Source organism: Homo sapiens, chromosome 3, assembly GCF_000001405.40.
Source record: "Homo sapiens chromosome 3, GRCh38.p14 Primary Assembly".
Lineage (NCBI taxonomy): Eukaryota > Metazoa > Chordata > Mammalia > Primates > Hominidae > Homo > Homo sapiens.
The window spans coordinates 117,535,389-117,563,289 of record NC_000003.12 but is presented as its reverse complement, the minus strand read 5'-3'; the positions used below and the strand labels follow the sequence as shown (position 1 = coordinate 117,563,289).

General features: G+C 37.1%; 1 long non-coding RNA gene and 1 pseudogene across 1 annotated transcript in view; both read right to left on the bottom strand.

Moving 5' to 3' along the window:
* Positions 18,979–19,085, bottom strand: RNU6-1200P (RNA, U6 small nuclear 1200, pseudogene; annotated as a pseudogene).
* Positions 23,535–27,901, bottom strand: part of LOC105374056 (uncharacterized) — a 56,435-nt gene continuing 52,068 nt past the window's right edge. The window contains exon 4 of the long non-coding RNA XR_924361.3: positions 23,535–23,614. This is a non-coding gene — a long non-coding RNA (uncharacterized LOC105374056). The remainder of the gene's footprint in view (positions 23,615–27,901) is intronic.

The window sequence follows — 27,901 nt, the reverse complement described above, 5'->3', positions numbered from 1 at the left end:
TATCAGTCATACTTCCACTTATTCCTGTGCACTTTTTGTTTGCTTTGCTTGGAACATTCTTCTCTAGATAGCTGCTTGGTTTACTCATTCCATTCTTCAAAACATTTCTCAGAAAAACCTCTCCTAATCACCCTTATTTAAAATTGCCAAACAACTCTTTGAGGAGACACCCACTTTCGATTACCCTGTCTTTTTTTTTTCTTTTTTTGTTGAGACGGAGTCTCGCTCTGTCGCCCAAGCTGGAGTGCAGTGGCGCGATCTCGGCTCTCTGCGAGCTCTGCCTCCTGGGTTCAGGCTATTCTCCTGCCTGGGACTACAGGTGCCTGCCACCATGCCTGACTAATTTTTTGTATTTTCAATAGAGACTGGGTTTCACCATGTTATCCAGGATGGTCTCGATCTTCTGACCTCATGATCTGCCCGCCTCGGCCTCCCAAAGTGCTGGGATTACAGGCGTGAGCAATCACGCTCGGCCAATTATCCTTTCTTTTTATTAATGGTATTCCTTTACTAAGATACTCTGCATTTACTTATGTTATTGTCTCTTTCCACCCAGTAGATGATAGGCTTAAAAGTGGAATTGCATTTTTACCTCTTTTCCTGTTTTGTTTACCTACATCGGAATCTGAAACACATTGAATAAATACTCAAATAGTTGTTGAATAGACTTTTAGTAAGCATGACCTATTGCAGAACTCAAGAATATGGTTCTCAATAAAGTTGTTTTATTAAAAATATGGATCTAACGGTGCTTACTATCTTCTGCCTAAGGTGACAACTGGTCCTACAATTTGGGTGCTGGGGGAGTGTGGATAAAACAGACTTAAGAGGCCTAACATGGGGAGAGAAAAAGGGATGAAGATAGTGAGTCTCACATTTTGCAACCTCTGTATTTATAGGGCTTAGACCACTCACATAGTACTTGCCCAATATTCATTTATTCAACTGAAAGCATCCATTGGTTTGATTATCACATGTACTGCATTGATGTCACCTGCAAAATATACAGAAAGCTGTTGCAGTGTCAGTGCAGACGTGCTCTGAGCCAGCCAGTCCCTATGCCTCATATTACAGGGTGCTGACACTGTCAGAGCACCACTGTTGACCTTGTGGTGACAGGTGCTCACACTGCCATCGGCAAAGGGACTGGCAAACACACAGCTCTTACTTTTAGTTGATTCACAAATGAAATGAACTTGATGTGGTCCATGAAGCTTCACCACATGCTACCAAATTTACCTTATTTGTCATTGAACATGGAGAGAGGGAGTATTCCTTCCTGTACCATATAGATCTATTCTCAAAGTCTATGAAGGCTCCATTCTCACGTTTTCTAAGGTTTCATGGGGCTCAAGACTCCCTTTACTATTAATGTGATACTTTAATAAATTAATAAATAAAGGGAAGTTTCTCTTCGCTGATACAATTTTTTTTTCTGGGAAAATTATCGGTACTAGCGTAGAAAATGTAAAGAGCCATGGATGTGGAGGCAGAAGGTCCTGGTTTAAGTTCCAGCTCTGTCACGTGCTTGCTTTATGACTTGAAAATGCTATCTAATATAAATGACAATGATAATAAATAGCATTTATCAGGGCTTTATCATATGCCAAGTACTTTTTTATGAATTGTTTCCTTTCATCAACTCTCTGAGTTCTGTAATATTATCTTTATTTTACGGATGAGGAAACAGTCTTAGATTAAGCGACTTGACAAGATCAGATAGCTAGTAAGAGTCAGAATGTAAAGGACAGCTCAAGTCTACGTGATGTCACACTCTTCACTATTAACTACTCCCCCGTATTAACACTCCAAGAGTTTGTTTTTCTACATGTGCTAAGCTCTCCCTTTAATCTTATTCAATTTTAAAATTTGGATAGTAATAATTTTCCTTATGCTAAGGTTTTGGTTTAGATAATTGTATTAGTCCATTCTCATGCTGCTAATAAAGACATGCCTGAGACTGGGTAATTTATTTTTTATTTTTATTTTATTTTTTTATTTTTTTATTATACTTTAAGTTTTAGGGTACATGTGCACAATGTGCAGGTTAGTTATATATGTATACATGTGCCATGTTGGTGTGCTGCACCCAGTAACTCGTCATTTAACATTAGGTATATCTCCTAATGCTATCCCTCCCTCCTCCCCCCACCCCACAACAGGCCCCAGTGTGTGATGTTCCCTTTCCTGTGTCCATGTGTTCTCATTGTTCAATTCCCACCTATGAGTGAGAACATGCGGTGTTTGGTTTTTTGTCCTTGCGATAGTTTGCTGAGAATGATGGTTTCTAGCTTCATCCATGTCCCTGCAAAGGACATGAACTCATCATTTTTATGGCTGCATAGTATTCCATGATGTATATGTGCCATTTATAAAGGAAAGGGGTTTAATTGACTCACAGTTCTGCAGAGCTGGGGAGGCCTCAGAAAACTTACAATCATGGTGGAAGGGGAAGCGAACGCATCCTTCTTCACATGGCGGCAACAAAGAGAAGTGCCAAGCAAAAGGGGGAAAAGCCCCTTATAAAACCATCAGTCCTTATGAGAACCAACTCACCATCATGAGAATAGCATGAGGGTAACTAAACCCATGATTAAATTACCTCCTACCAGGTCCCTCCCACGACACATTGGGATTATGAGAACTACAATTCAAGATGAAATTTGGGTGGCGACATAGCCAAAGCATATCAATAATGTATTAAGGTAGATTTGTATTTGTCTTAGGGTTTTTGTTGATGTAGTTTTTGTTAAATATTAGGTACAGTGTATATATGGGAAGTATTTTATGACTGTCACTTTGTGGAAGTGACAATATTATTCCATGCTACTAATATTATTCTATGCTACTAACCAAAAAAAAAAAAAAAAAAATACAAAATCTGTCCCCGCCTCAGAGCACTGAACCTTCCAGAATAATTTAGATATAATAAGACCATGCAGAAATAGAATCATTTTTTGTATGTGTAAAATTAATCTAGGTTAAAATACAGAGAGAAGATTGCGTTTGGAAAAAAACCTTTTCCCACATTTTCTCCAGGCTCCTCTTTATAAAGCAATTCATGTAGTAAGAAATCATTTTTGTTCCCACTTTCTCTTCCTTCCCAAGACAGCATGGGCATCTGTGTCACTTTTCAATGGGTGATTCCGTCATAATTATTCTTCATACTATATCATTGAGTCTGAAGTAACAAATACAGGTTACATTTAGATACTTCTTATATGCATCCTGTGCAACCCCTCCTCACCACAAACACACTTACACTCACAGTAATTCTTAGGAAGAGTACCTGCTCACAACGTAAAATGCCTTTTCCAGGCCGGGTTCACGCCTGCAATCCCAGCACTTTGGGAGGCTGAGGTGGATGGATAATTTGAGGTCAGTAGTTCAAGACCAGCCTAGCCAACATGGTGAAACCCATCTCTACTAAAAAATACAAAAAATTAGCTGGGCATTGTGGCATGCGCCTGTAATCCCAGTCATTCGAGAGGTTGAGGAAAGACAGTAGCTTGAACCCATGAGGCAGAGGTTGCAGTGAGCCGAGATCATGCCACTGCACTCCAGTGTGGATGACAGAGTGAGACTCTGTCTTAAAAACAACAACAACAAAATGCCTTTTCCAGTAAAATGAATTTTTAATAACACCTAAGTGTGTGGTGATTTTTTTTTTTTTTTTTTTTTTTGAGACGGAGTCTTGCTCTTTCGCCCAGGCCGGAGTGTAGTGGCGCTATCTCGGCTCACTGCAAGCTCTGCCTCCCGGGTTCACGCCATTCTCCTGCCTCAGCCTCCCGAGTAGCTGGGACTACAGGCGCTGCCACCAAGCCCGGCTAATTTTTTGTATTTTTAGTAGAGACGGTGTTTCACCGTGTTAGCCAGGATGGTCTCTATCTCCTGACCTCATGATCCGCCTGCCTCAGCCTCCCAAAGTGCTGGGATTACAGGCTTGAGCCACTGCACCTGGCGGGTGATTTTTAATTTGTATTCCCCCTTCCACCATCTTATTCATAAATTGTTTATAAGTTTCTCTGGGTACCTTTAGGTAGTGGGGGTGAGGGGGAATATTCCCAGGAAGAAATAGTTCATGTCTTATCATCATCCCTGTAGCCCTAACCATCCTGTCCATATTGATTATGTGATGGACTTTTGAAGCATTCCTTCTAAGCCAATAGATGATACCCTAATTACAGTCTCTTGGGGTGTTCCACCAGTCAGAACTATGTTGTAGGTGATTTTTTTCTGAGTATTTTGCTCATCTGATATTCTGTTGCCCCTCAAGTATTCTCCACTGTGACACTGCCGATTTTTCTTCACATCAAAATATATCTACTTGCTTCCCATCTCCTTGGGGTCTGCCACTTTGCAGCTCTTGCTAGTTAAAGCTGGTTTACTCATTTCTTGTTTTGCAATGACTAACTAATTGAATGCATCCTTCTCAGGGAATCATTACCTAATCCATCTAATGTTTGTTTTATTTCTATTGAAGTCCTTGAAAGGAATATCTCATTTAATCCTCAGGACAACAATATTAGAAATCACCATCCTATAAGACAGGAAACTGAAAATCATCAAGATTAAGAAACTTAAAACAGCCAATGGGGAATAAAGCTTGGGTTGAGGTGAGAAATAAATGTCTGAAAAGGGAAATCTGCTAAATAAAGTAGCAGAGCTTTTGCTTAAATTATTTCTTTTGCCCAGAATTCTATTCTCTTCTATGATATTCCCCTGTATCCACCTGCAAAGTCATCAACTCCCGTGGCTTGATTTAACTCCACCATTGCGGAACTTCTATATCTTTCTTTCTTAATCTCGCTTTCTTTCTGCCCCTGTTGTATTCCCACAGGACTTTAACCTTATTTCTTTTAGAGCACTTACCACTTTGTGTCCACAAATATTATCTAAGCATCCATGTACAACAGAACCTGAGTTCCTTGAAAGGTGGAAATATGCCCCCTCCATTTTTATATACCCTTCACAGGACTTGATATTTAGCAGATGCTCTGTAAAACTTTGAATGAGTGAGAGAAATCATACCAAAATATGTTTTTTTAAATAGACAAAGACATAATGAAATTATTTGTTTATAACTTCAAGCAGAATGCCTGGATTAAGGAAGATCTGAAACCTTGTGTTCTTTAATGACTGGTAATGATTAACAAAAGCTATTTTAGTGGAGAAAATGCTTTCTCCTTCATGATGCATATCGCTGCATTTTTTTCTTTTGCTGTGTAGTTATTGATAACATTTCATCATTTTTTAGGGAAGCAATCAATTCCATTTCTATTGCTGCCCAGTTGGCTGCTGCAATCCTTATGCTGACCTCTCACTCTAAAGGTTCTACTTTGCATTAGGTCCTCTTCAGAGATAAACTTGCAAAGTGTTTGGTGATTAGATCAGGAGGCTGGTTTCAAGCATTCTATTTTTATCTCTATTGCCTGCCTTATTGTGTCACCTTGGACAAAACACTTAGTCCAGGTTTACATATACGTTTTTCACTTAAAAAACTGTGTCTCATGATAAATTCTTATTCAGACAGTAGAAAGCAATTTTCCTAAGTGCTTTACTTAATTGGTTTCCATCCACACATGATCTTCCAAGGCTGTATTTACATATCCCATCATGCAACATTGCCTCTATAATTCTCTGCTTCTCAGGAAGGTACACATCTCTGGTAATTTGTTTGTGGCTGCTGAGTTCATTCACTGATGCTTGCTCTTTATTCCCAGTGCTCTATCCTTTGAGACAGACAACAATATATTGCTTATTAAGAATATAGGTTGACCCTATAAAAGTAACACAAGCAGTGCTCTAAATGTTCAGTTTCCTAATATTAGCACCCAGGTTTGAAATGTGGCCAGTGGAATATGCTCCCTTGAGTTGGAAAATAAGATCCTTACCTGATGAAGTAGAGGTTGGGAGGAGGATCCTAGTGGGGAGATAGTCCCTCCTTTATTATTTTCTGATAGTGTAGTGGACAGTGAAAGATTTTCTGTAGAAGGCAAGAAGAGCCTGAGAGAAAGAAATGTGCTATCTGTCATGTGTTGTTTTTGCTATTTATATATGAGTGGAGTGCTGACTCAGCTAAGTATGTCTAATGAGGGGGCAAAAATCTGGGGAGTTAATTTCCCCAGATTTCATTCTGTGGAAATTAAATCTGGTCCTCAAGAAGATGATAAATACAAGAAACAAACAAGATTAATTTTCATCACCTGGAAGTTTTGTGAAAGACTTGTGTTGGGCATAAACTTTAAGTGTTTTTTTTTTCCACTTGTTTGAAAAGGTTTCAGTGATACCCTGTGGTTCTTTGGTGTCTTGTATTAGTCCACTCTCTCACTGCTATAAAGAAGACTGGGCAATTTATAAAGAAAACAAATTTAATTGGCTCACTCTTCCACAGGCTGTACAGGAAGCATGATGGCTTCTGGAGGTGTGTCAGGAAACTTTCAATCATAGCACAAGGTGAAGCGGAAGCAGGCACATTTACATGGCCAGACCAGGAGGAAGGGAGAGAAGGGGGAGGAGCTACACATTTCTAAACAGCCAGATCTCGTGAGAACTCTGTCATAAGTTCAGCACTAGTAGGTTGGTGCTAATCCTTTGTAAACTGCCCCCATGATCCAATCACCTTCCACTAGGCCCCACCTCCAACATTGGGGATTGTAATTCAACATGAGATTTGGATGTGGACACAGATACAAACCATATCAAGTCTTTTTGTAGGTATTTGCCATTAAGTTGCCTGAATTAAGGGTCTATCCTGTAGTCAGAACATAATAAGAATGTCAAACTCCCGACCTTGGCTTCCAGTTTATTGGCAAGAGCAGTGAGTAGTGAGGACTGTCTCAAGCAGACGGCAGAGAGAGAGGTATCTGGGTTTTCAGATACATAATACCTCATTTTGACTATGTGATTTTCATGTGTTTCAAATAAAGCAAATAAAATATTTTTTCTTTTTTCATAATACCAGGGGTTATATGAAAAGAGGTGTTGTCAAGGATAGTCAGCTAAAAATCTATTTGTTTCTATGAGCATTTTCAATAAATGTGACTCAAAGTGTTCCTCAAATATATCAAAAAAGTCCAATTTTCTGCTTATATGTTGTAGTTTTTTTTTTTTTGAGTGCTAAGATTTTTCAACTTTCTTTTTTTTTTATTATTATACTTTAAGTTTTAGGGTACATGTGCACAATGTGCAGGTTAGTTACATATGTATACATGTGCCATGCGGGTGCGCTGCACCCACTAACTTGTCATCTAGCATTAGGTATATCTCCCAATGCTATCCCTCCCCTCTCCCCCCACCCCACAACAGTCCCCAGAGTGTGATGTTCCCCTTCCTGTGTCCATGTGTTCTCATTGTTCAGTTCCCACCTATGAGTGAGAATATGCGGTGTTTGGTTTTTTGTTCTTGTGATAGTTTACTGAGAATGATGATTTCCAGTTTCATCCATGTCCCTACAAAGGACATGAACTCATCATTTTTTATGGCTGCATAGTATTCCATGGTGTATATGTGCCACATTTTCTTAATCCAGTCTATCATTGTTGGACATTTGGCTTGGTCCCAAGTCTTTGCTATTGTGAATAGTGCCGCAATGAACATATGTGTGCATGTGTCTTTATAGCAGCATGATTTATAGTCCTTTGGGTATATACCCAGTAATGGGATGGCTGGGTCAAATGGTATTTCTAGTTCTAGATCCCCGAGGAATCACCACACTGATTTCTACAATGGTTGAACTAGTTTACAGTCCCACCAACAGTGTAAAAGTGTTCCTATTTCTCCACATCCTCTCTGGCACCTGTTGTTTCCTGACTTTTCAATGATTGCCATTCTAACTGGTGTGAGATGATATCTCATTGTGGTTTTGATTTGCATTTCTCTGATGGCCAGTGATGGTGAGCATTTTTTCATGTGTTTTTTGGCTGCATAAATGTCTTCTTTTGAGAAGTGTCTGTTCATGTCCTTCGCCCACTTTTTGATGGGGTTGTTTGTTTTTTTTCTTGTAAATTTGTTTGAGTTCATTGTAGATTCTGGATATTAGCCCTTTGTCAGATGAGTAGGTTGCAAAAATTTTCTCCCATTTTGTGGGTTGCCTGTTGTAGTTGTTTTTAAAGAGGCAATGGATATCCTGACTAGATTGATAATAATAGTAAATATATATACTGCTCTGATATCTTAGAACAACCTTTAATACCACTTTTTATGAAAATGTTAAATATTTCACCAATTTTAGTTATTTGGGTCAACTAACAATATCATAAAGTACATTCTGGTTCTGAGCTTGTCCTGAACCTTGAGTGGAACCAACTAGTGTCTTTTGTCTCAGTTAGGTTGGTAGTCTCCTTGACTATACCTTGATTAACTTCTTTAATGTCTTTATTTCTGAAAGGTGATATTGAAACAAGCTCATTGGCACCTGTCAAATGTTTGACCTCCGAAGCTGATTGATGAGTCTATTTTTTTGACTACTGGAGTTATTTATTCCTGATATGTATTTAATCCTGCTCTTCAACCTGATGGATTGGAAAGTATACTTACTTGAAAAGTAGAGAAACTCACATGACTTTTACTGATGGATAGGATAGGCATTATCTTGTGCATAGTTCAAAAGGAAAGATAAACTTTGATGGCTAAGCCAATGAGTCATGATTGGAATTGAACTTGGAGAATATCACTACTTAGCGAAATGCTGAAACACATGTATTAAATAAATAAGTAAAACACATTTTCTGAAACTGAAATGTCTTTATTAAATAAATAAAGATAATATCTTTCTCTCTAAAGAAATGGCTTATGAAACTTGTATGATGTTTTAAAAGAAGATATATAAATGTGATATACCTTTTAATTTTAATTTTGTATTTAAAATATAAGGTATCAAAATAATTTCATCCCTACTTTTACCTAAAAGAAAGTAAATTTCTTTTTTACCATAGGAAAGAGGAAAGTCATCTGTTTATGCTATACTCATATAATAATCTCTCTCCAAGTGATAATGGAGGCTGTAATATTGAAAGAAAATATACTCCCTATTTTCCTTCAATAAAAAGTGATCTAATGGGTACACAAGAAATTATGATTTCTGCTACAAAGTCATGAGTTCTTTGAGGGAGTTAATTTGAGGGATCAGAAGATTTATTGTAACAGCTAAGGGGTGTTTTAAGAAAAGATTAACTTTGGAGCTTGAATAACATTAATTTGACCCAGCAGAATACAAGATAAGGGAGATGGTTGGGATTAAATCTCAGAATAATTTTTAATAGACCAAAGGATTTTAAACTTTGTTAGACATTAGTAAGCTAATGGCTGTGTTTGAGATTAATGTGATCAGAGTTATAGTTAAGGAATTTTAACTGATAGACTTATGTAGGTTAAATTAAAAATGGATATTGACCATTTTTGCTTTGAGTGAAAAATAAAATTAAAAAAATAAATTCTAAAAAATGGGTAGATCTTGGAAGCAGGAATGGTAGTTGTTGGATGATTAAAATAATCTAGTTAACGGTTCATGGGGCCTGAATTTGGGTGATAGGTGTGGAGTACAGAATTAGTGAGGAACTGAAAGTGGGTAGAAATGTGGCAGCTGATTGAATGGAGAAAGCAAAGAGCAGAAGTCAAGGATGACTCAGAGCCTATGACTCTGAGTAATGAGTTGTTAGTTGTAGTAAAGTTCTCATAGCAAAGCTGTAAGAGACAATTGGTTCACTTTGGCCTATCCTACACGTTGGGTATCATAAACATGCAGGCATTCCCAATGAGCTGATAGGTAGGTGTTACTTGAGGTGAAAACAATTTTTTTTCTTAACTTCTGTGGCAGACAGAGTTTATCTCCAAATTTCTACAAATAGCCTCTGATGCAAAATCTTCCAGAACTATTTTCCAAGGTATTTTATATGTTCTGTCTCTGAACACTTTAAAAAATGTTTTAAAAGTTTTTTTAAAGATAGGTTTAAACAAGCTTCAAGACAGGTGTATATGGATTTTTTAAAGGCTAGAGGGAAAGTGAGAAATCATTTAATTTAAAGCTTCATCCTAAAGTTGTGGGAACTGAAGCCTAGAGAGGTAAAGAAAAGTAAATGCCTACAATCACTCAGTGGCAGAAATTAGCTCATGGCTCCTGACTTCAAGTCTTGTACTCTTTTCACAGTAGATACAGTGGATTTAACTATGTACAATTGAAACTTTTATAGGTCAACACTTTTAGAATATTAGGAATTACAATCTGATAGCAAAACAATCAGGATAAAATATGTGACTACTTACACACAGATGGAAATTTCTCTACTAAGAACTGGTCCATCTACATACTTACTTGGGAAGTTATTTCAGTGACAAGTGGTGGGCAGAGATTAAAGTCTGTATTAGAAATCTGGAAACTAAATAAATAACATCGATGGCATATTTATTTGGAGAACACTAAGAAAGAAGGTGTTTCAAGCACATTAAAGCTTGAGAAAAGCAGAAAGGATCATAGACATAAAGTGTTTAGGATCATAGACCCAAAAACACAAAATTAAAATTCAAGCCAGTGTATGTGGAAAACATAAATTTTTTAAAAGGGTATGTGGTAAAAGAAATGAAAGGAAGATTAATATCTCCTGTAGAATAAAGGCAAAATGCATATTGTGTAAGTGTGCTAAGACCAGTGCTCAATAGGCCACAGGTGGGTACCCAATTCACAAACATGGTTAGGACTTTGTTGTGTGGGAGACTACTAAACCAAAGAAATGGTGAGAATGGTAACATTATCCTGACATCAAAACTGGAAGCAGAGGCCAAACACTGGATGATAAAGAGGATAAACAGCTGTGGCTTCTTGGTAGAGACTTGCAAAGTTTATGTTCCTTAATAACATGTTTATGGATAAAGGGGTAGAAGTAGTACCTACTTTTTTGATCAACATACATATCTATTGTAGATGTCTGTATATTATTTATGTATGCACTATGGAGACATTGGGGGAGAAAGAGAGAGAGAGAATAGAAAGCGGGCCAAAAGAACAGAGTGAGGAAAGGAGAAAAGAAAAGAGAATGCGAGCTAAAGAGACAGAGAGAGAGAGAGAGAGAGCGTATGACTGAGAATGAGGATGTGAGAGAGAAGCTTGATTTTCTTATATCTACAAATAAATACATATTTTGAAACATGCACTGTTCATTCATTCAGTGAACGTTTATTATGTACCTATTTAGTGCATTGGTGGTCTCTTTGGATCCTAAAAGAAACAAACACAAACAAAACAAAACTAAAAAACTGACAGATATATACCTTGATATTACAGATCAGGAAAGTAAGTCTCAGAAAGGAGAAGTGAAATGTACAAATTCACATGTCAGTGAAGGACAGAGCTTTTCTTTAATACAGTAATTCATTGCCACTGAGTCTATCCCAAAGGAAGTGCTCAGATTTATAAAAGAGAATAAAATATGGCTGGGCGCCGTGGCTCACGCCTGTAATCCCAGCACTTTGGGAGGCCGAGGCAGGCGATCACAAGGTCAGGAGATCGAGACCATCCTGGCTAACACGGTGAAACCCTGTTTCTACTAAAAATACAAAAAATTAGCGTGGCACGGTGGCGGGCGCCTGTAGTCCCAGCTACTCTGGAGGCTGAGGCAGGAGAATGGCGTGAATCCGGGAGGCGGAGCTTGCAGTGAGCCGAGATCGCACCACTGCACTCCAGCCTGGGCGACAGTCGTAGTCAAACACAATGTAAACCAGTGGTGGAGTCTTGGGGCACAAGGAGCATGACCTGGGGCTGGTGGAAGAGAATAATCCCATAGGGGTTTGTTTCAAGGCCTGCAGAGCAGTCCTGACTTTTCTAAAACTTTGCATCTGACAGGCAGAAAAGGAAGCCTTTCTCAAGTGTAGAGAAGATATGATGCTGCTTTCATTCTTCCAAGAAGTAAGCATTTCTCTTATAATTGCGCATTTCTCTTATAATTGCCCATAGAACAGATTCGCAAGCACTACACCGGGTAGGGATTAGAAGACCAGAGCATTAATCATGGCTGCACCAGTAATCAGCTGTGTGACCCTGGATATAGCTTCTCATGTCTCTGAGACTTGGTTTACTTATTAAAAAGATTGGGCTGAAGGAGTTTTAATGTCCCTGCTAGCTCTGAAATGTTGAGAGTTTGAGAACATGGATACACTCTTCCTGTGAAATCTTTTGAAGTCTCATGAGCTGATGCTGACTGAAAAGAGGCTGCTGATAGCAAGTGTTTGTCATTCACAGTGGCCGCCTGATATCTGCCCATCCATGTGTACGTTTGGAGATTTCCATTCCCCTTCTAACCACATTTGATGTCTCAGTGAAGAGATTACTTCCACTACTGGAGAGGAAACTGACTTTCTCAGCTTCCCCTTCAGCTGTGGCATAAGCTACATTTTGAGACCTACATTTTGGGAAGAAAATACCCCAGGGCCACTGGCTATGCTTAAGACACTTTGAGAAGCAAGTGGTACAAGTTCTCTCTCTGGAAGCAGACTTTTTTTTTTTCCTGCTCAGAACCAATTCTAAGGTGGTTTGGGGCATTTTCTTTTCCCGTAACCTTGAGCCTTGTTCTCCAGTTCTGTCATTAATTCTGTGAACTACTGAATTTATTTTTAATACATCACCATATCTTATCCTTCAAGGCCTACTTTAAGTTTCATCACCTACTTTTTTCAGACCACTTGAATATACATATCCTCAGAAGTTCAAAAGTACTCATTTTTTTGGTCAATTAGATTGGTAATTCTTAATTGTATCCTGTTTTTTTGTATTGTTATTTAACTAAGCAATTAGACTTTTAGCTCTGCAGGACGAGTTGTTTCCCATGGAATCTAGTAGAATGTTTTTATTCATTTATGCCTGAACTCTTTAAAAAAGGACCTATATCACTTATTGATCAGAACAATGAAAACACGTCTTCAATCAGAAAAAGAGGCAATCCTTGTGAAACTCCCAAGTACACTTTTTGAATTGATGGATCCATTTGTTACACTCTTCAAAAAGTTTCAACGCTGCCCTCAGCTCTTGCTATCTCATTTCGGTCTTTTGACCCTTAAGTCTTAGTTATTCCTTATGACATGGTAAAGATTGGACAGTAAAACTAATTGTGACAGTACTCAACAGAGAAAAGCCTGTAATGAATAGCATCAGGGAGACCTTGTGAAGAATTGCACTTTAAACATAAAAGGTTGCAGATGAATTGAAGAAAGGAAAAAAATATGAAAAAAAGGAAAAATTACTCCAGGGAACCTATTAAAGAAAATACACTTATATAACTTGACTTATTGAAAAGAGTAGCTGGATATGATTTTTCAAATAGGTATAAACACTTAAATGCAAATAAAATTAAACCGAATAAAATAGAAAAATTATTTTACTCAGCACAAGGGGGCAGAGTTAGCTCTTATGGAGAAATAAAGTGTCCTCAATAAACAGCCAATGGATTAAAATGGAATCTCTTCGCAAACTGGAAGACTAGAGTAGTGAAAAAACAGCACTGTGAAATTCCACACCACCTTTGCCTTGTACATTCCCTTGCCCTCCATTATCAGAATTCTCAGACCACCCCCACAAAGAAATTATTTCTGATCCTGATTTACAGCAGGGGAGTCTGAGGTACCTAGAGATTATTATCTGACTAAATTTGTATAAAAGTAGATCCATGATTTTCTGACCGTAAAGTTCACCATTCGTACAAAAGAATAATCTGCCTTTCTCAGATGGGTGTCTAGAGACAACGGATTGTGTAGCTATGATCCTTGCCCTATAAGAGTTAGCCACTTAATGCAGAGGGCAGAACAAACATACAAAAAAGCCTCTATTATCCATGCACTAGGAAGAAAGTAGCTTAACTGGCACACATGGAAGAAGCTATATGTCTACCCTTACATCTATATCTCTGTGCATGTTTATTAATTTAATACACCTATGCAAACATACCTGACTAATAGGATTAGTCTGGAATGTTTCCCAAAAAATGAACTTTGAATATAATTTTAGAAGACAGTGAGAGACACAGTGAGATCAGAGCCAATTCATCCTCCCAAAGTAGGAGAGCAGTATTGTTCAGCCAGGCATTTTACCCCATAGCATCTTATCTCACTGTTTTGCCATCACTGCCATAAGGGCTCCAAGGAGGTAAGGAAGCTTACCCAGTGCTCCTGATTTCAGATTATGCCCTTAAATCCACTGAGGTTCATTATCCCTAACGCTTGTTCCTAACTCCTTCACATCTTTTCATATTTTTGTTTCTACTTGAATTTAAAAATTTATTAATATAAGAAGACTAGATTCTCCTGTGCACCAACCTACAGAGCTTTAGTGCTTGCATTCTAAGGAGTCCTGCAGCAACACTCCCATCTATTGAAGCATGTCCACTGATATACAATGTACTTTGTTTTAAAATGTGGTTTCCTTCAACATTTTTCAAGCCCTGAAGACAACCTACGAGCATCCACTGAGACTTAGCAGCTGACTCGTTTCACTCACTTTTGATGTGGGGTCGAGTTTAACTTGAGCTACAGACAGTCATACTGGAATGCAACAGCATTTTATTGCAAAATGGATTGTTTTGAATGGTTTATAAGGCTTTATACCAGGTAAAGCAGAAAAGCAGAAAATGAGATGGATCATATCATCCATGAGAGGCAGTGAGTTATCATACTTCCATGGTGAGATGCCTCTGTCCTCTCAATCTCACCCTAAATCCTCTTCCCTTTCCACTCCTTTCCATACACATATACCAGAAGAACAATTTTTCCTTCCACAAAGAAGGAGGGCCTTAAGACCTTTAGGGAAAGGGTCAGCATACCAGATCAAGTAGCAATCCTGCCAAACCTGTGAATCATTGGGCCTTTGTGACTAAGGAGCATTGCAAGCCATGGGCCATACCAAGCGTGAACCAGAATTGCTACATAGGCTATGGAGGAACATTGAAAATAAAGGAGGGGGAAGAAATGAGACTCCCATTTTCTAGCATCAGCATTTTCCCAAACAAAACCCAAGATATGAATAAAGTGACTCATGCATTTTAAATCAATGTAGGATTTTGATGAAAGGCATGTGAGTGTAGAGACATTCTAGCCTGTGCAGTTCAGAATGAGTAAAGTTACGTGCACATGTTGTCAGCCAGGGGCAGGGAGCCAGAATGAAAAACAGAGTGAGGGGGAAAGATGTGAGATAGTTAATCTTTACTAAATTATCTCAGAATCATCTTAGATTTCATAGATGTAGGATGACTCACTTTCTGCTACAGTGCCAAGGGGCAGCTGTGAGAGACAAATTATAAATGATGAGATTGCTCATAAAGGTAAGGAAAAATGATACTCTGATACTGGCAGAGATGTAAGGGAAACAGTATAAACTCAAATTGAGAGATATGAAAAGCAGCCCTAGGTATCCTAGAGTATACCAATACTAAAGCAATGAATTAAAGCAAAACAAAAGAAAAAAAAGAAAGGGATCACTCTCTTTACAGAAACTGAAAACAGAAGCAAGATATACCCACTAATGTTCTATATTTTAAAACAATGAATTCTCATACCTTTGGTGGTAGAAACTTTGTCTTTTTTGTCAGTTTTTTAAAATCCTTAGCCCTTAAACTAATCCCATGAGTTAGTTTGGGCTATCTCAGAAACAGATGCCAAGACAGAATTATAAGTACAAGAGATTTATGGTAAGAACTGCCAGTGTTGGATAAATGGGGGGAAAGGAGGTATAGGCAGGGAAAGGCTTCAGACTGCAATGCTGAAAGGAGAGAAGGGAGAAAGGATTTTGTAGGGAGAGTCATAGACTGCGGCACAGTTCTTAGAAAGATCTCAGCCAGACTGATGGAAAAGCAAAAGTGACCTGTTACAGAAATCCAATAGGAATGGGTCAGAATCGGTAGCACTGCTGGGACCAGGCATTGACTGAGAAAAGCTTGGCAGGAGGGTGGCCTTGACAAGACTGTGCAGTTGACCCAAAGGGGCAGCAACCAGGGCTCTCTGTCACTTCTTCTCTCCAAACGGTCAGGTTCTCCAGAAACGGCATCTGAATGACACACATCCGTGGCCTCTGTACAAGTGCTCATTACATTTTGGTTGAATCCATTAAGTCATTTACAGCCAATGTCCAAATCTAGTCTTCCTGCACACCTGCACACACTGTCTCTATATTCTCTACTGTCATCATATGTCACCCATGCCTTTTAATGGCTGCTATCAGCTATGGGATTTCACTTCTAAACAGAGATTAGTGGTATAAGTGTTATGATGTAATCCATGCCTGGAACCTGCCCTTGTGGTGACCCTGTAGAGTAGGAGACAGTCCCATGTTCTACCTCTTCTGAGACCTTGGTTCATCAGTTCTTGCCTTATTTTTACATACATTTTTAAAGACATTGGTCCCTTACTTTCTGATTATAATTATACTCAAATTCTCTTTACATTGTTTCAAAAATATCCCCACACCAATCACAGTTCATACTGTTATTCTGTTGTATTCCTTAAACGTGGAGTTACTCTGGGATCAGTTTTTACGCCTGTTCTATTCTCTGTCTGGTTTCTAAAGTCTTTCTAGACTATTTCTTACTATTCTCTCCCAAGCCAAAATGCATTAGCTGCTCTAACCTTTCTCTGCAGGCCTATGGAAAGACTATGGCTGTCTGTCAAATAAGTAAATAAGTCTTCCTGTCTATTTCCTTTTTTGTAATCTTTGGTTTTCTTATTTCTTCTACCCAAGTGAGCTGTCCAGTTCTTTGAGAGTTGATACCAAGAGTCTAAACTATTTCCTAAATACACAATGATGCCTGGCACATGGTAGTTCTCAATTAAGGTTTGTTGAGTGAATACTAAATACAAATCAACTGAAGGAGAATATGGTTTGGTGATAGTGAGGAATGAAGAAATCGATTGAAACAGAACAATAATTTCCCTTAGAGTGGATTTCGTAGATAACATAATTTGTCTATATGGTAAGGTTGAGTAATACTGGCAGCAAATTATCATGCATTGCTTTTGCCAGTAGGAAGTAGACAGGATAGAAACGTGCTCCTATCTGGACAGAATACCACTGTGACTGGGCACCCTCTCCTTTTCTCATTTATTACAGGGGATGGTGTGTAGTTGATGAAAATATCAAAGAAAAATAAGAGAGCTTGGCTTAAAGGAAAAGTTATTAAGACTCAAGGTTACTCATTAAGATCTGAAGTAAAATATGTGACAGGGACACAAATATCATCTGAGCATGAAAATCTATATTCATTCAGTGAAAGGGGTCATATAGTATTGTTAATTCATTGTCAGTGTTTGTTTATACAAAGTACATTGAATTTGCAAATCAAAGTAAATTTAGAGGTGATTTAGAACAAACAGGAATATTTTTTTGAACTCAGAGAAGTGATACCCCAGAGGACAAATTGCCCCTCAGCTTTGACTGCATTTCATTATGATGTAAAATATTCTTAATCAAAAGAGATGGTTCTCTACATATAAAATCGGGGTTTTAAATTTTTTCTTAAGATTTTGAAGCGTTACCAGGCCTAACCCTAGTACCAGGAACGAAGACTTGTTTGTGGTAGAAACTACCCTTCTAATGAAATGAAGGCACAGAGCTTGTGCAGCTGAAAGTAGATTGAATCAAGGAATGTGGCCTCTGGGTGTGTAAGAGAAAGCCACAAGCCGTTATCTGGCTGAAGGTCAAGTAAGTCTTTCCTTGCCCCTCCATACATGCAGGAAGGAAAGGGAAGAGGCAAATCTCTCTTGCCCCCAAAGTAATGCTTTTCCTTTCTTTCTTCCTTACTCCTTTCCCTTCCTCTCTCCAGGACTTCTGGCTGTATCTAGAGGTGAAAGGATCTGAGCCTGAGAAAAGAATTTTATGCCTTCAGGACCCCAGTAGTTCAGGAGCGTATTAGAGATGAGGGCCTGAAGCTGAAAGAGTGATAAATGTTTTGTTTTGTTTTAGTAATTTAATGAAGACATTCTCTCTCACTCTGTCTTACTCTGTCTCTCTCATCTTTTTCGGTCCCTTATTATCTGTCTCTTAACTTTTTTTTTTTCCCCATAAACAACCTTAGTCTGATGAGCAAATAATGATTGCTGAAGGTGTGCAGAGGAAACGGGTGAGGAGTGTAGAGAAGGATGTACGTTTCTCTCCTAAGACTGAACATCATCAGTCTTCTTAATTCTCAGTAAGTGAAAAGAAACCCTTTCATGGTGGGTTCACAGCTGACCCTTCTCTAATTCAATTCAAATACAAATCCACCCATTTACCTTGGATATGGGATCTCTCATAATTACTGCAGTTTTTTTTTTTTGATAAGAACTGCACCTGATTTTATTTATGGTTCTCAACTCAGGATATATATTAGAATTATTTAAGAAGCCTTAAAAATTCTGACTTTCAGACCACTCCAATAATGAATTCAATCAGAAACTCTAGATGTGTGCTGTGGTGGTTTGCTGCACAGATTAACCCATCACTTAGGTATCTAACCCAGCATCCATTAGCTATTCTTCCTGATGCTCTCCCTTCCCCCAACCCCCATAGAGGCCACAGTGTATGTTGTTCCATGTGTTCTCATCATTCGCCTCCCACTTGTAAGTGAGAACATGCGGTGTTTGGTTTTCTGTTCCTGTGTTAGTTTGCTGAGGATAACAATTTCCAGCTCCATCCATGTCCCTGCAAAGGACATGATCTTGTTACTTTTAATGGCTGCATGGTATTCCATGGTTTATATATACCACTTTTTTTATCCAGTCTGTCACTGATGGGCACGTGGGTTGATTCCATGTCTTGGCTGTTGTGAATAGTGCTGCAATGAGCATACACATGCATGTATCTTTATAATAGAATGATTTATATTCCTTTGAGTATATACCTAGTAATGGGATTGCTGGGTCAAATGGTATTTTTTGCTTCTAGATCTTTGAGGAATTGTCACACTGTCTTCCACAATCGTTGAACTAATTTTCATCCCCACCAACAATGTAAAAGCATTTCTTTTTCTCAAAAACATGGAATGCTTCATGAGTCTGCATATCATCTTTGCTCAGGGGGCACGCTAATCTTCTCTGTATTGTTCCAATTTTAGTACATGTGCTGCCAAAGTAAGCACTGTATTTCTCAGTACTTCAGACAATTCCAAAGTGTGGTCCAAGTGGAGGACCACTGTTTAGGGTCAGAGTTTAGGGTCATCTCAACAAACAGACACACAATATCCTAAGGTATTCATGTCTCACACACATATTTTGACTTATTAGCAGAGTAAAAATATGAGAAACATGTCAAGCTGGACTTTAAACATTTAGCTTTCTATAGATATGAACATGAAAACATGTACAAAAATTCCACAGTAAAATTAAACTGATTGATGCCTTACTGGGCAAGGACTAGTAAAAGTATATTTTAACAAAGTGTTCAAATTATTTGTGTCCACATAGTGAATATAATGTTGGCTATGACATGGACTGAGAGTGTATTTTTATATTAAATTGCAGTACTAAGGAGCTGTTTAGTAGATCAACTTCTGTTATGGTGCTATGCTTGGATAAGAAGAGAAATGATTGACAGTTTTGCAGGATCATGCTGAAAAATCCCACCCACTTCAAGATAATTAAAACATGAAGTAGGCTGTAAGTGGAAGTGTCTGGAGAATGGCATTTTTTTTTTCCTGACAAGTGATGTATAGGATTTGATTCTTTGGGGGTAGTAATTTGTTTCCAGTTTTGTTTAACTCTAAACTATCCATGAACATAGACCTCAGAGACTCCATATCGTTACTTGATTTTTCTCATTTACATATGCTACAAACATATTTATTTACTGTGGGTTCGTTACTGATGGAACAAAGATAAATAAAAATACAGCTTCTCCCATCAGGTTGCCACAGTGTAATGCTCAAAATATAGTCAGAATTACTTGGGTGCTGTGAAAATGTAGATTCCCTATGATTCTAAAGATTCTGATAAAAGTTTGCAGTAGAACCCAGGAAACTTCATCTTCATGGACTTCTGCATGGAATTAGTGGAAGGATTTATAATGTGAATCTTTTTGGAGATGACATTGGTGTTCTGAAACTATCTGTGGTAAAGAACCCATTTTAATTTTTTTGTTGTTTTTTGCTCTTATGAATAAAGCTGCTGTGAACATTCAGAAAAAATTTTCAGTGTACAAGAGACTAAGTGAAATCTAATAAAAGGCCAGGCGCTGTGGCTCACGCCTGTAATCCCAGCACTTTGGGAGGCCGAGGTGGGCCGATCATGAGGTCAGGAGATCGAGACCATCCTGGCTAACACAGCGAAACCCCGTCTTTACCAAAAATACAAAAAAATCAGCCAGGCACGGTGGTGGGCGCCTGTAGTCCCAGCTACTCTGGAGGCTGAGGCAGGAGAATGGCATGAACCTGGGAGGCGGAGCTTGCAGTGAGCCCAGATCATGCCACCGCACTGCAGCCTGGGCTAAAGAGCAAGACTCCATCTCAAAAAAAAAAAAAAAAAAAAAAAAAAACAACTAATAAAAATTAATTTATAAGGAAAAAAGCAATGAAGGGAAAACCTACAAAATACAATCCCTGATTTTCATTATTAGATTCAATAAACATAAAATTACTGTGTCAAATTGCTATAAAAGTTTTTAAATGCCTGCTCTTAGTTTTTGTACTTATTCTGTTATAGACTGGTAAATAATTTGCAGACTGACACTGAGCCACACACCAAACATTGAGTAGTATTATTTCCAATTTTTGTTCAGAATAGCAGTAATTCTGTGAAATACCAATAGGCTAGAAACCAGAGGAAAAGAGTCAATGGTCAATTAAGTTTGGGAAATTGTCAGATAAATAAAATTTCCTTACAATAAAAGATCTTAAAATGTCTACTATACCAGTTTGTTTGTAAATGCAAGAGAAAGATAGCATATGGGTTTTCCTAAAATTATTCAACCATGGATTTGTTTCCAAGAGCTGATTAACAACTCTAAGAACCCAGTCTTGAGTTGAACACAATTAAGGAAATGCTGATCTAGATAATTTTCCTTATTTAACAGTTGAGGAAACAGAACCTAGACATGTCAAGTGACTTGGCTTATAGTCAAACAACTATTTCATTTACCAGTTAACTGAATAATTAATTAAATTTATTTATACTAAATTAAGCAAAATTTTAATGAGTATTTATTTATTAGGGTCAGGTACTCTACCAGTGCCTTGTCTTCCAGATTTATAATTGGAATCTTTTACACACATGAAATGCCTAACCATCTACCTCAGGAACCCTTGGTTCTCATTTTTCTGCAGACACATATATCGCTAATTTTCCTGTGTTGTTTACTTTGTGTGCTTCAATCATTCTTTCTAAGATTTCCCTACTGTTTATAACTGAGGACATTTTTCTGGATGATGTTGGCCTAATCTTAGCCAACTTTGTTAAGACTGAATAGTCATGCAATCTGGTAAAAAGATTAGCATATTTATTTCGTTTTGTTTTTATTTCAAAGAATATTTGCATAGCAGTTACTACAGGTCCATTTTCTCAGCTACTACCGGCCAAACCATGTTCTTAGCATTTCACATGTACTAACTGAGTTAAACTTTAAATTAAGGGTTTGATATAATTATTTTTATTTTACTTATTTGGAGATCAGGAACCTGAGACATGGAAATATTAAGTGGCTTGTTCAAGGTTATAGAGCTTATACCTGGTAGACTTAGGATTCAAACCCAAGCAACCTGGTTCCGGAGTTCATGTTACACCAGGTAGAATTGTACATCCGCTTTATGAGAATAACAAGTATACTGGTTTAAGGTAATCGGAAATTACCCAAATGAACAAGAATTATTCTAAAGAATTCAGGGTTGTAATGGAAAGGGATTTTAATGTTCAGATAAATGCTTTTCCTTTTTCACTGTAATTCATCTGGACAAGAAACTGTTTTCTTCAGGAGATGTGACAGAGAGGATTTTCAAAGGCAGTAAAAGCTGTAGAGACATATTATCTTAGAGAAGAATGATCCTTAAAGATTATCATAACTGGAGTTCTTAATTGCATTTTAGAAGTTGGAACGACTGTAGATTTTCTATAATAAAATAATGGTGGGATTATCTACATGTACTGGGAGATAGTTTAATAAACAGAATCATCTTAAAAATTTTCTCCTATGATATTTTGCCATTTATTCATTAAAAACAAGTTATTGAGTATCTATAATGTGCTACATAGTATGAAAAGTGCAAGGGATACTACATTGACTAAAACAAGTTCTCTGCCTCCATTCACATCAGTCTGCTGGAAGAGAAAGCTTTAAAACACAAAATGAAACAAACAAATGTGCTGCATATTACCATTTATCTGCACAGTAATTTATTATGAAGCAGCATATAACAGCATATTCTTCAATATAATATTTTTGTGTGTGTTCCCCCAAGAGAATCATGACTTGTAGGTTTGAGAATCACTACTCTAGTTTCCACCTTGACTTTATAGGTTAGCATAATGGATACTCTGGAGTTTATGACTCATCTAGTTCAAGATGTGGTGGAGCCGGGGTGGCCTTCATGTCAACAGATTCTAAATCAATGGCTGTTTTTATGTTTCTGACTTATGTAGTCATTTTTATTTCATCCTACTATCCACACAATTATGAGCTAATAGAATATAGCTAATTCCTTCTCTTTTATTTATTATGAAAGAAAATGTTTTGATTTAGAGATGTTTACTATAGGCCAAATTTTCATTTTTAGCATTCTACCTTTATATAAATTGATACATGGACGGTATATTTTTACATAATTGTTCATAGGTTATATATTTTTATCTTTCAAATGTATCAAGTATCAACATGTTTAAGATTAATTTTATAACTAAGAACTCTTTATTAAAAAACTAAAACATTATCCATAAAAAAAAAAACATTTCAAAGAAGTCGCTTTTGACCTCCAAGCCTTATTCTTGGTCCCCTCTCTACCTTTCTAGATGTAGCCACTGATCACATAAGTGAGTTTAATATGAGTTCTATGGTTATTTTCCATATGTCCATATGCCTCTGTTATAACTATACCTCTATGGTAACCACAGAAAGTACACTGCAGTTTTTAAATATGGTATTGTACTGAAAGTATCTTTTAGCCATTTGCTTTTTTTTAAGTAGAATATCAATTTATTTTATAAGACATAGATCTACCTTCTTCTTCGTAATTGTTGCATAATGTTTCATAGTTTGGATGTAACACAGCTCATTCGACTATCCAAACAATTCCCAATTATAAACAGTGATACAATGAATATCTTTGTAGAGCTTTTTTATACATTGAATAAATTTTTCAACATGTCAGCTGTAAGCCTAACAGGAACAAGGCAGTGACATTTCTAACAAGCAGTCAGTAACTCATCACAGGCTATCAAGGCAAAAATTACCTGCCATAAGATGTTAATATTTTGCTTTCATAGATCAGCTTCATGGAAGTAACATGCAATGCTAGGATAGTAGCAAAAACAAAGGAAATTGGCATACATTTAATGAATAAATACAACTTAATCAATCCAGAAATATTTATCAAAGACTTGCCTACCTGGTGCCAGGGTTTCTGTTACAGGTAAGGAAGAACAATGGTGCACAAGACACAGATTCTTCTTTCAAGGAACTCACAATCTTAAGGGAAAGAGAAAGACATATAATTAAAGTTTATTTCCTTATGTCGTTCAAGTCTTTTTGTAGGGATATGAGTAGGGTAGTATGATGCCTTATCGGAAAACCTCCTAAAAGGGTGGGTGTGTCTACTAAGTCTTTTCAAGGTGTGACTTCTAACTTGAGATCTGAAGGAGGACCAGAAATTGCAGCCAGATGCCGGGGGTGAGATGGGAAGGACATTCCAGGCAAACTGCATGTGCAAACACATAGAAGACACAGCTATATGTAAGTAGGAGTAAAAATAGCTTAGTATTTACTACTAGAGTGTAACTATTAAACTATGGTATGAAATATGAGAGACATACAAACTGTTACAAATGCATGTTCTTTATTTTAGTACTATAATTTTGATTACATCAACTAAAATATCTTTTATTCCTTTTGTAGTAACCCACCCATATTTAATGTTATAATTCAATGCACTTGATCCTTAGTCATTTATTCAATATTTAACAAATATCTACTGAGTCATGACTTAATGAAAGGTGATATCTTGGATGTTAAATTCAGATTTCACTCAAGGGGAGAAAGGTATTCCTAATTAAGTGTAATATCCATTAACACAATTTGAAACTGGAAGGTAGCAAGAAGAAAACAGTGCAGATATGAAATCAGAGGCCACATTCAAAAATAAATTTTTTTTCCATAAAAAAATTAAAATTTATACTGGTTTACATTGCATATGTTGTTGATATTTCAGAATAAGAATTATTGTTAGAAAGAAAACCTACCTCTAGTCTTATGAACCCAAAATTTTAAGTAGAATTTTTTTTTGCAGTGGAATCTTCACTATTATCCAGTTAATTCCATTATTTCGTGTGGCAAGAATAATAATAGGTATCAAATTATTTAATTAATTTAAGAATATGTACTTTATTATATTTTATTCTCTACTTCATCTTTTCTCCCCTATCCCTTAAGGATATCTCATCATTTTATGTCTTTGTGTTTCTTTAATTTGGATTTGGTCAAATAAAATATAAAACAACTCTATTACAACAGCCACTTCAATAATCAAGATGATAATGTAATAATGGAATGTTAAAATATTGTCTCCTTTGAGATAAAAGTAATTTAAAATGCATGTTACCTACTTCAGATTGTTTTCAGACACCCAATTGGACGCCTAATTAGAAAGCATAAGGAAAATCCCAGGGAAGCAGCATTGCCACAGAGAATATGAGGAAAAAATAAAATGGCTTGTGTAGGAATAATCAGGAGAAAAGTTTAATGATTTTGAACTTTGAGTAGTAGATTTAAAGTGTTACCTTCCAGTTTCAAATTGTGTTAATGGATATTATACTTAACTAGGAATACCTTTCTCCCCTTGAGTGAAACCTGAATTTAACATCCAAGATACCACCTTTCATTAAGTCATGACTCAGTAGATATTTGTTAAATATTGAATAAATGACTAAGGATATACTTCAAATATACTACTCTGTTGAGTAATATATTTAAAGTGACAGAGGATATGCCTACAGATGTCAAGATGGAATTTATTCATTCATTCCACAAAATTCAAGTGCCTACTTGGTACCTGGCACAGTTCTAGATACCTGTGATTCATCATTGACTAGAACAAAGATGACTGCGTCTCAGTCAAATGTTAGAAACTTTTTATTTTTATTTACCAAGAAAAATCTAACAAAAGGAAAAACATATAACCTATACTTTTAAAAGGTTTATGCAGATGTTTATATTTCTTATGTGACCAGTTCAGTGGAATTTGCAAGTTTATTTTTTGGGGGGGGGGGATTTGTAAAATTATTGCCAGTGGACATTTTCTAGACACTTTTCTTTTTTAGATTCTCTTGCTATCAAGGAAAAAACCTGGGATCTTGTGCTCAGTGGACATAGATGACATTTGCCTGATCGACATCTATGATTTACACGTAATACTTTATAGCCCAAACATAAATGCATTATATTTTAACTGTAATGCTGCTAATCATACTTTAAAATCTGTTTAGAGTGGACTATTGAATTAGTTTTATTCATTTATTCATTTTAAAATTTATACTTCTAACTCATTGCATTAATGAATTTTTTTCAACAGATATAACTTAGTGTCATGTTAGTTGGTTTTACTAAAATTGGTATATTTTATGAGCATTGGATTTTAATCTTAAACTCTTCTGTCAATGAAAGACTACAATATTTTACTACAACTTTCTGGCAGATATGAGCAGAGATTTAAGGCTTGACTTGTTATCACCTTCTCCCTCATGGGATTTTCATTAGAGATATCATTTCTCTTCAAACTTCAGATGATATAGAAAGAAGTACCAAAGGGAGAAAGTGGATTAGTAGGAAGCTTAAGGGAAAGAAAGGTGTCAATATCCTTCAGGCATAAAATCAAATTTGAAACACTTGAAAATCGTAAGGGCCTAGGAAGGTAGATAAGGGTCTAAGGTTGTATACAGAAAAGGTATCCATAAAGAGCTGCAGGTGGGGAGGAAAGTAATGGCATGGGTGCAGGAAAAAACACTACTCTAAATAATAGGATTTAGTAGAAAAGATTCAATAGAAAGTTATATCTTTAAGAAGTTATCACACTCATGTGAGTACATACATCCTTCTTGTATCGGTCCATTTTCATACTGCTACAAAGAAATACCTGAGACTGGGTCATTTATATAGAAAAAAAGGTTTAATGGACTCGCACTTCCACATGGCTGGGCAGGCCTCGCAGTCATAGCAGAAGGCGAAAGAGGAGCAAAGGCACATCTTACATGGTGGCAGGCAAGAAAGTGTGTGCAGGGGATCTGCCCTTTATAAAATAATCAGATCTCATGAGACTTACTCACTATCACAAGAACAGCATGGGAAAAACCCGCCTCCATGATTCAGTTATCTTCTGCCATGTCCCTCCCACAACACGTAGGGATTATGGGAGCTACAACTCAGGATGAGATTTGGGTAGGGACACAGCTAAACCATATCACCTGTGATGATGTTCGATGGTAATTTGTTTTGGTTTTATTTATTTATTGAATTTAATTTGCTTGCTTCTCTCTTTCTTTCTCTCTTTCTCTGTCTCTCTCTCTCTCTCTCTGTCTTGGCACTATTTTCTCCCTAGTATTATGGTTGGTGTACTGTTATACTTACCCAATCCTACCTGGTAGACAGTAAGCTGTATCAGGATAAGGGTTGGGAAAGGACATTCTCTGTCCCTGTGGTACTCAGCATGTTACCATATACATATATGCTAACCTTATTCAAAATCCTTTTGTTGAATGAAGAAATGAATGACTAAATGGATGAATGAATGAACAGATAAATAAGTGAAAAACCAAATGAGTAACGTATTAGGTCTTGGAAATAGTGCAATTTAAACTTAAAGTGGTAGATACACTATTACTCATTAAGTTCCATAGGAAGCGTACTCTGAGACAAAGACCAAAGTTCATTCAAAGTGATATTGAGTTTAACACCTGTGGGAGAGTGAAGGCGGCATGATTGGGCAGAGAGAGTTGCTGATCCACAATTTACTTATAACAGAGGACTCATGGGGCTAGGGGCCAGGACTTTATGGCCCCGCACAGACCTGTCATTAGGCAAAGGCTGTCCCAGAAAGGTTGTGACTTTGAAGGAAGACTCAATTGATATCTCAGTGAGAGACTCAGTAGTGGGGGAGTGAATGTTCTTCTCCTACAGGTGAGGGTCTAGAGAATCACCACAGCATCTACTACAAATACCAGAAACAACCGTGGGTGCTATTTCCATGGAAGGCAAATCCAGGGCCAATGAATGGAAGAGAGGACATTTTCAGCTCAAAATAAAGAAATATATTTAAATGATGTTCATCATTTAAAAAATTCTTAGAATGTAAATATTTAAACAGAGCCTAGTCTGTTCTGTTCCATCACATAATTATTAAACATCAGATGCCAAAGGGAGAGGATAAGATTTAAGATAATTCCCAGCTCAGCGATTGTCATTTTACCTTTTTCTTCTTCTTTTTATTTTTTACTGTAATTCAGACTCAGTGAAATTTAAGCAGGGGTTTATACTGATATATTTTCTTATTTTTATCATAAAATGAACCCATCAGAGTTCCAGGGTTAGCCCATGAATGGCAGTAATTAGACTCTCGGGATATGTGAGGGCATATGTAAATAACACTATACGTGTTTCCCAAGAGTAGTAAAAATCTAAGGTAGGGATACTGGAGAGTTAGAGGAGTGGAAGAAATAAAAGGACATTGAACAGTGAATGAACTTAATTCAGCTACAGTTTTTTTCT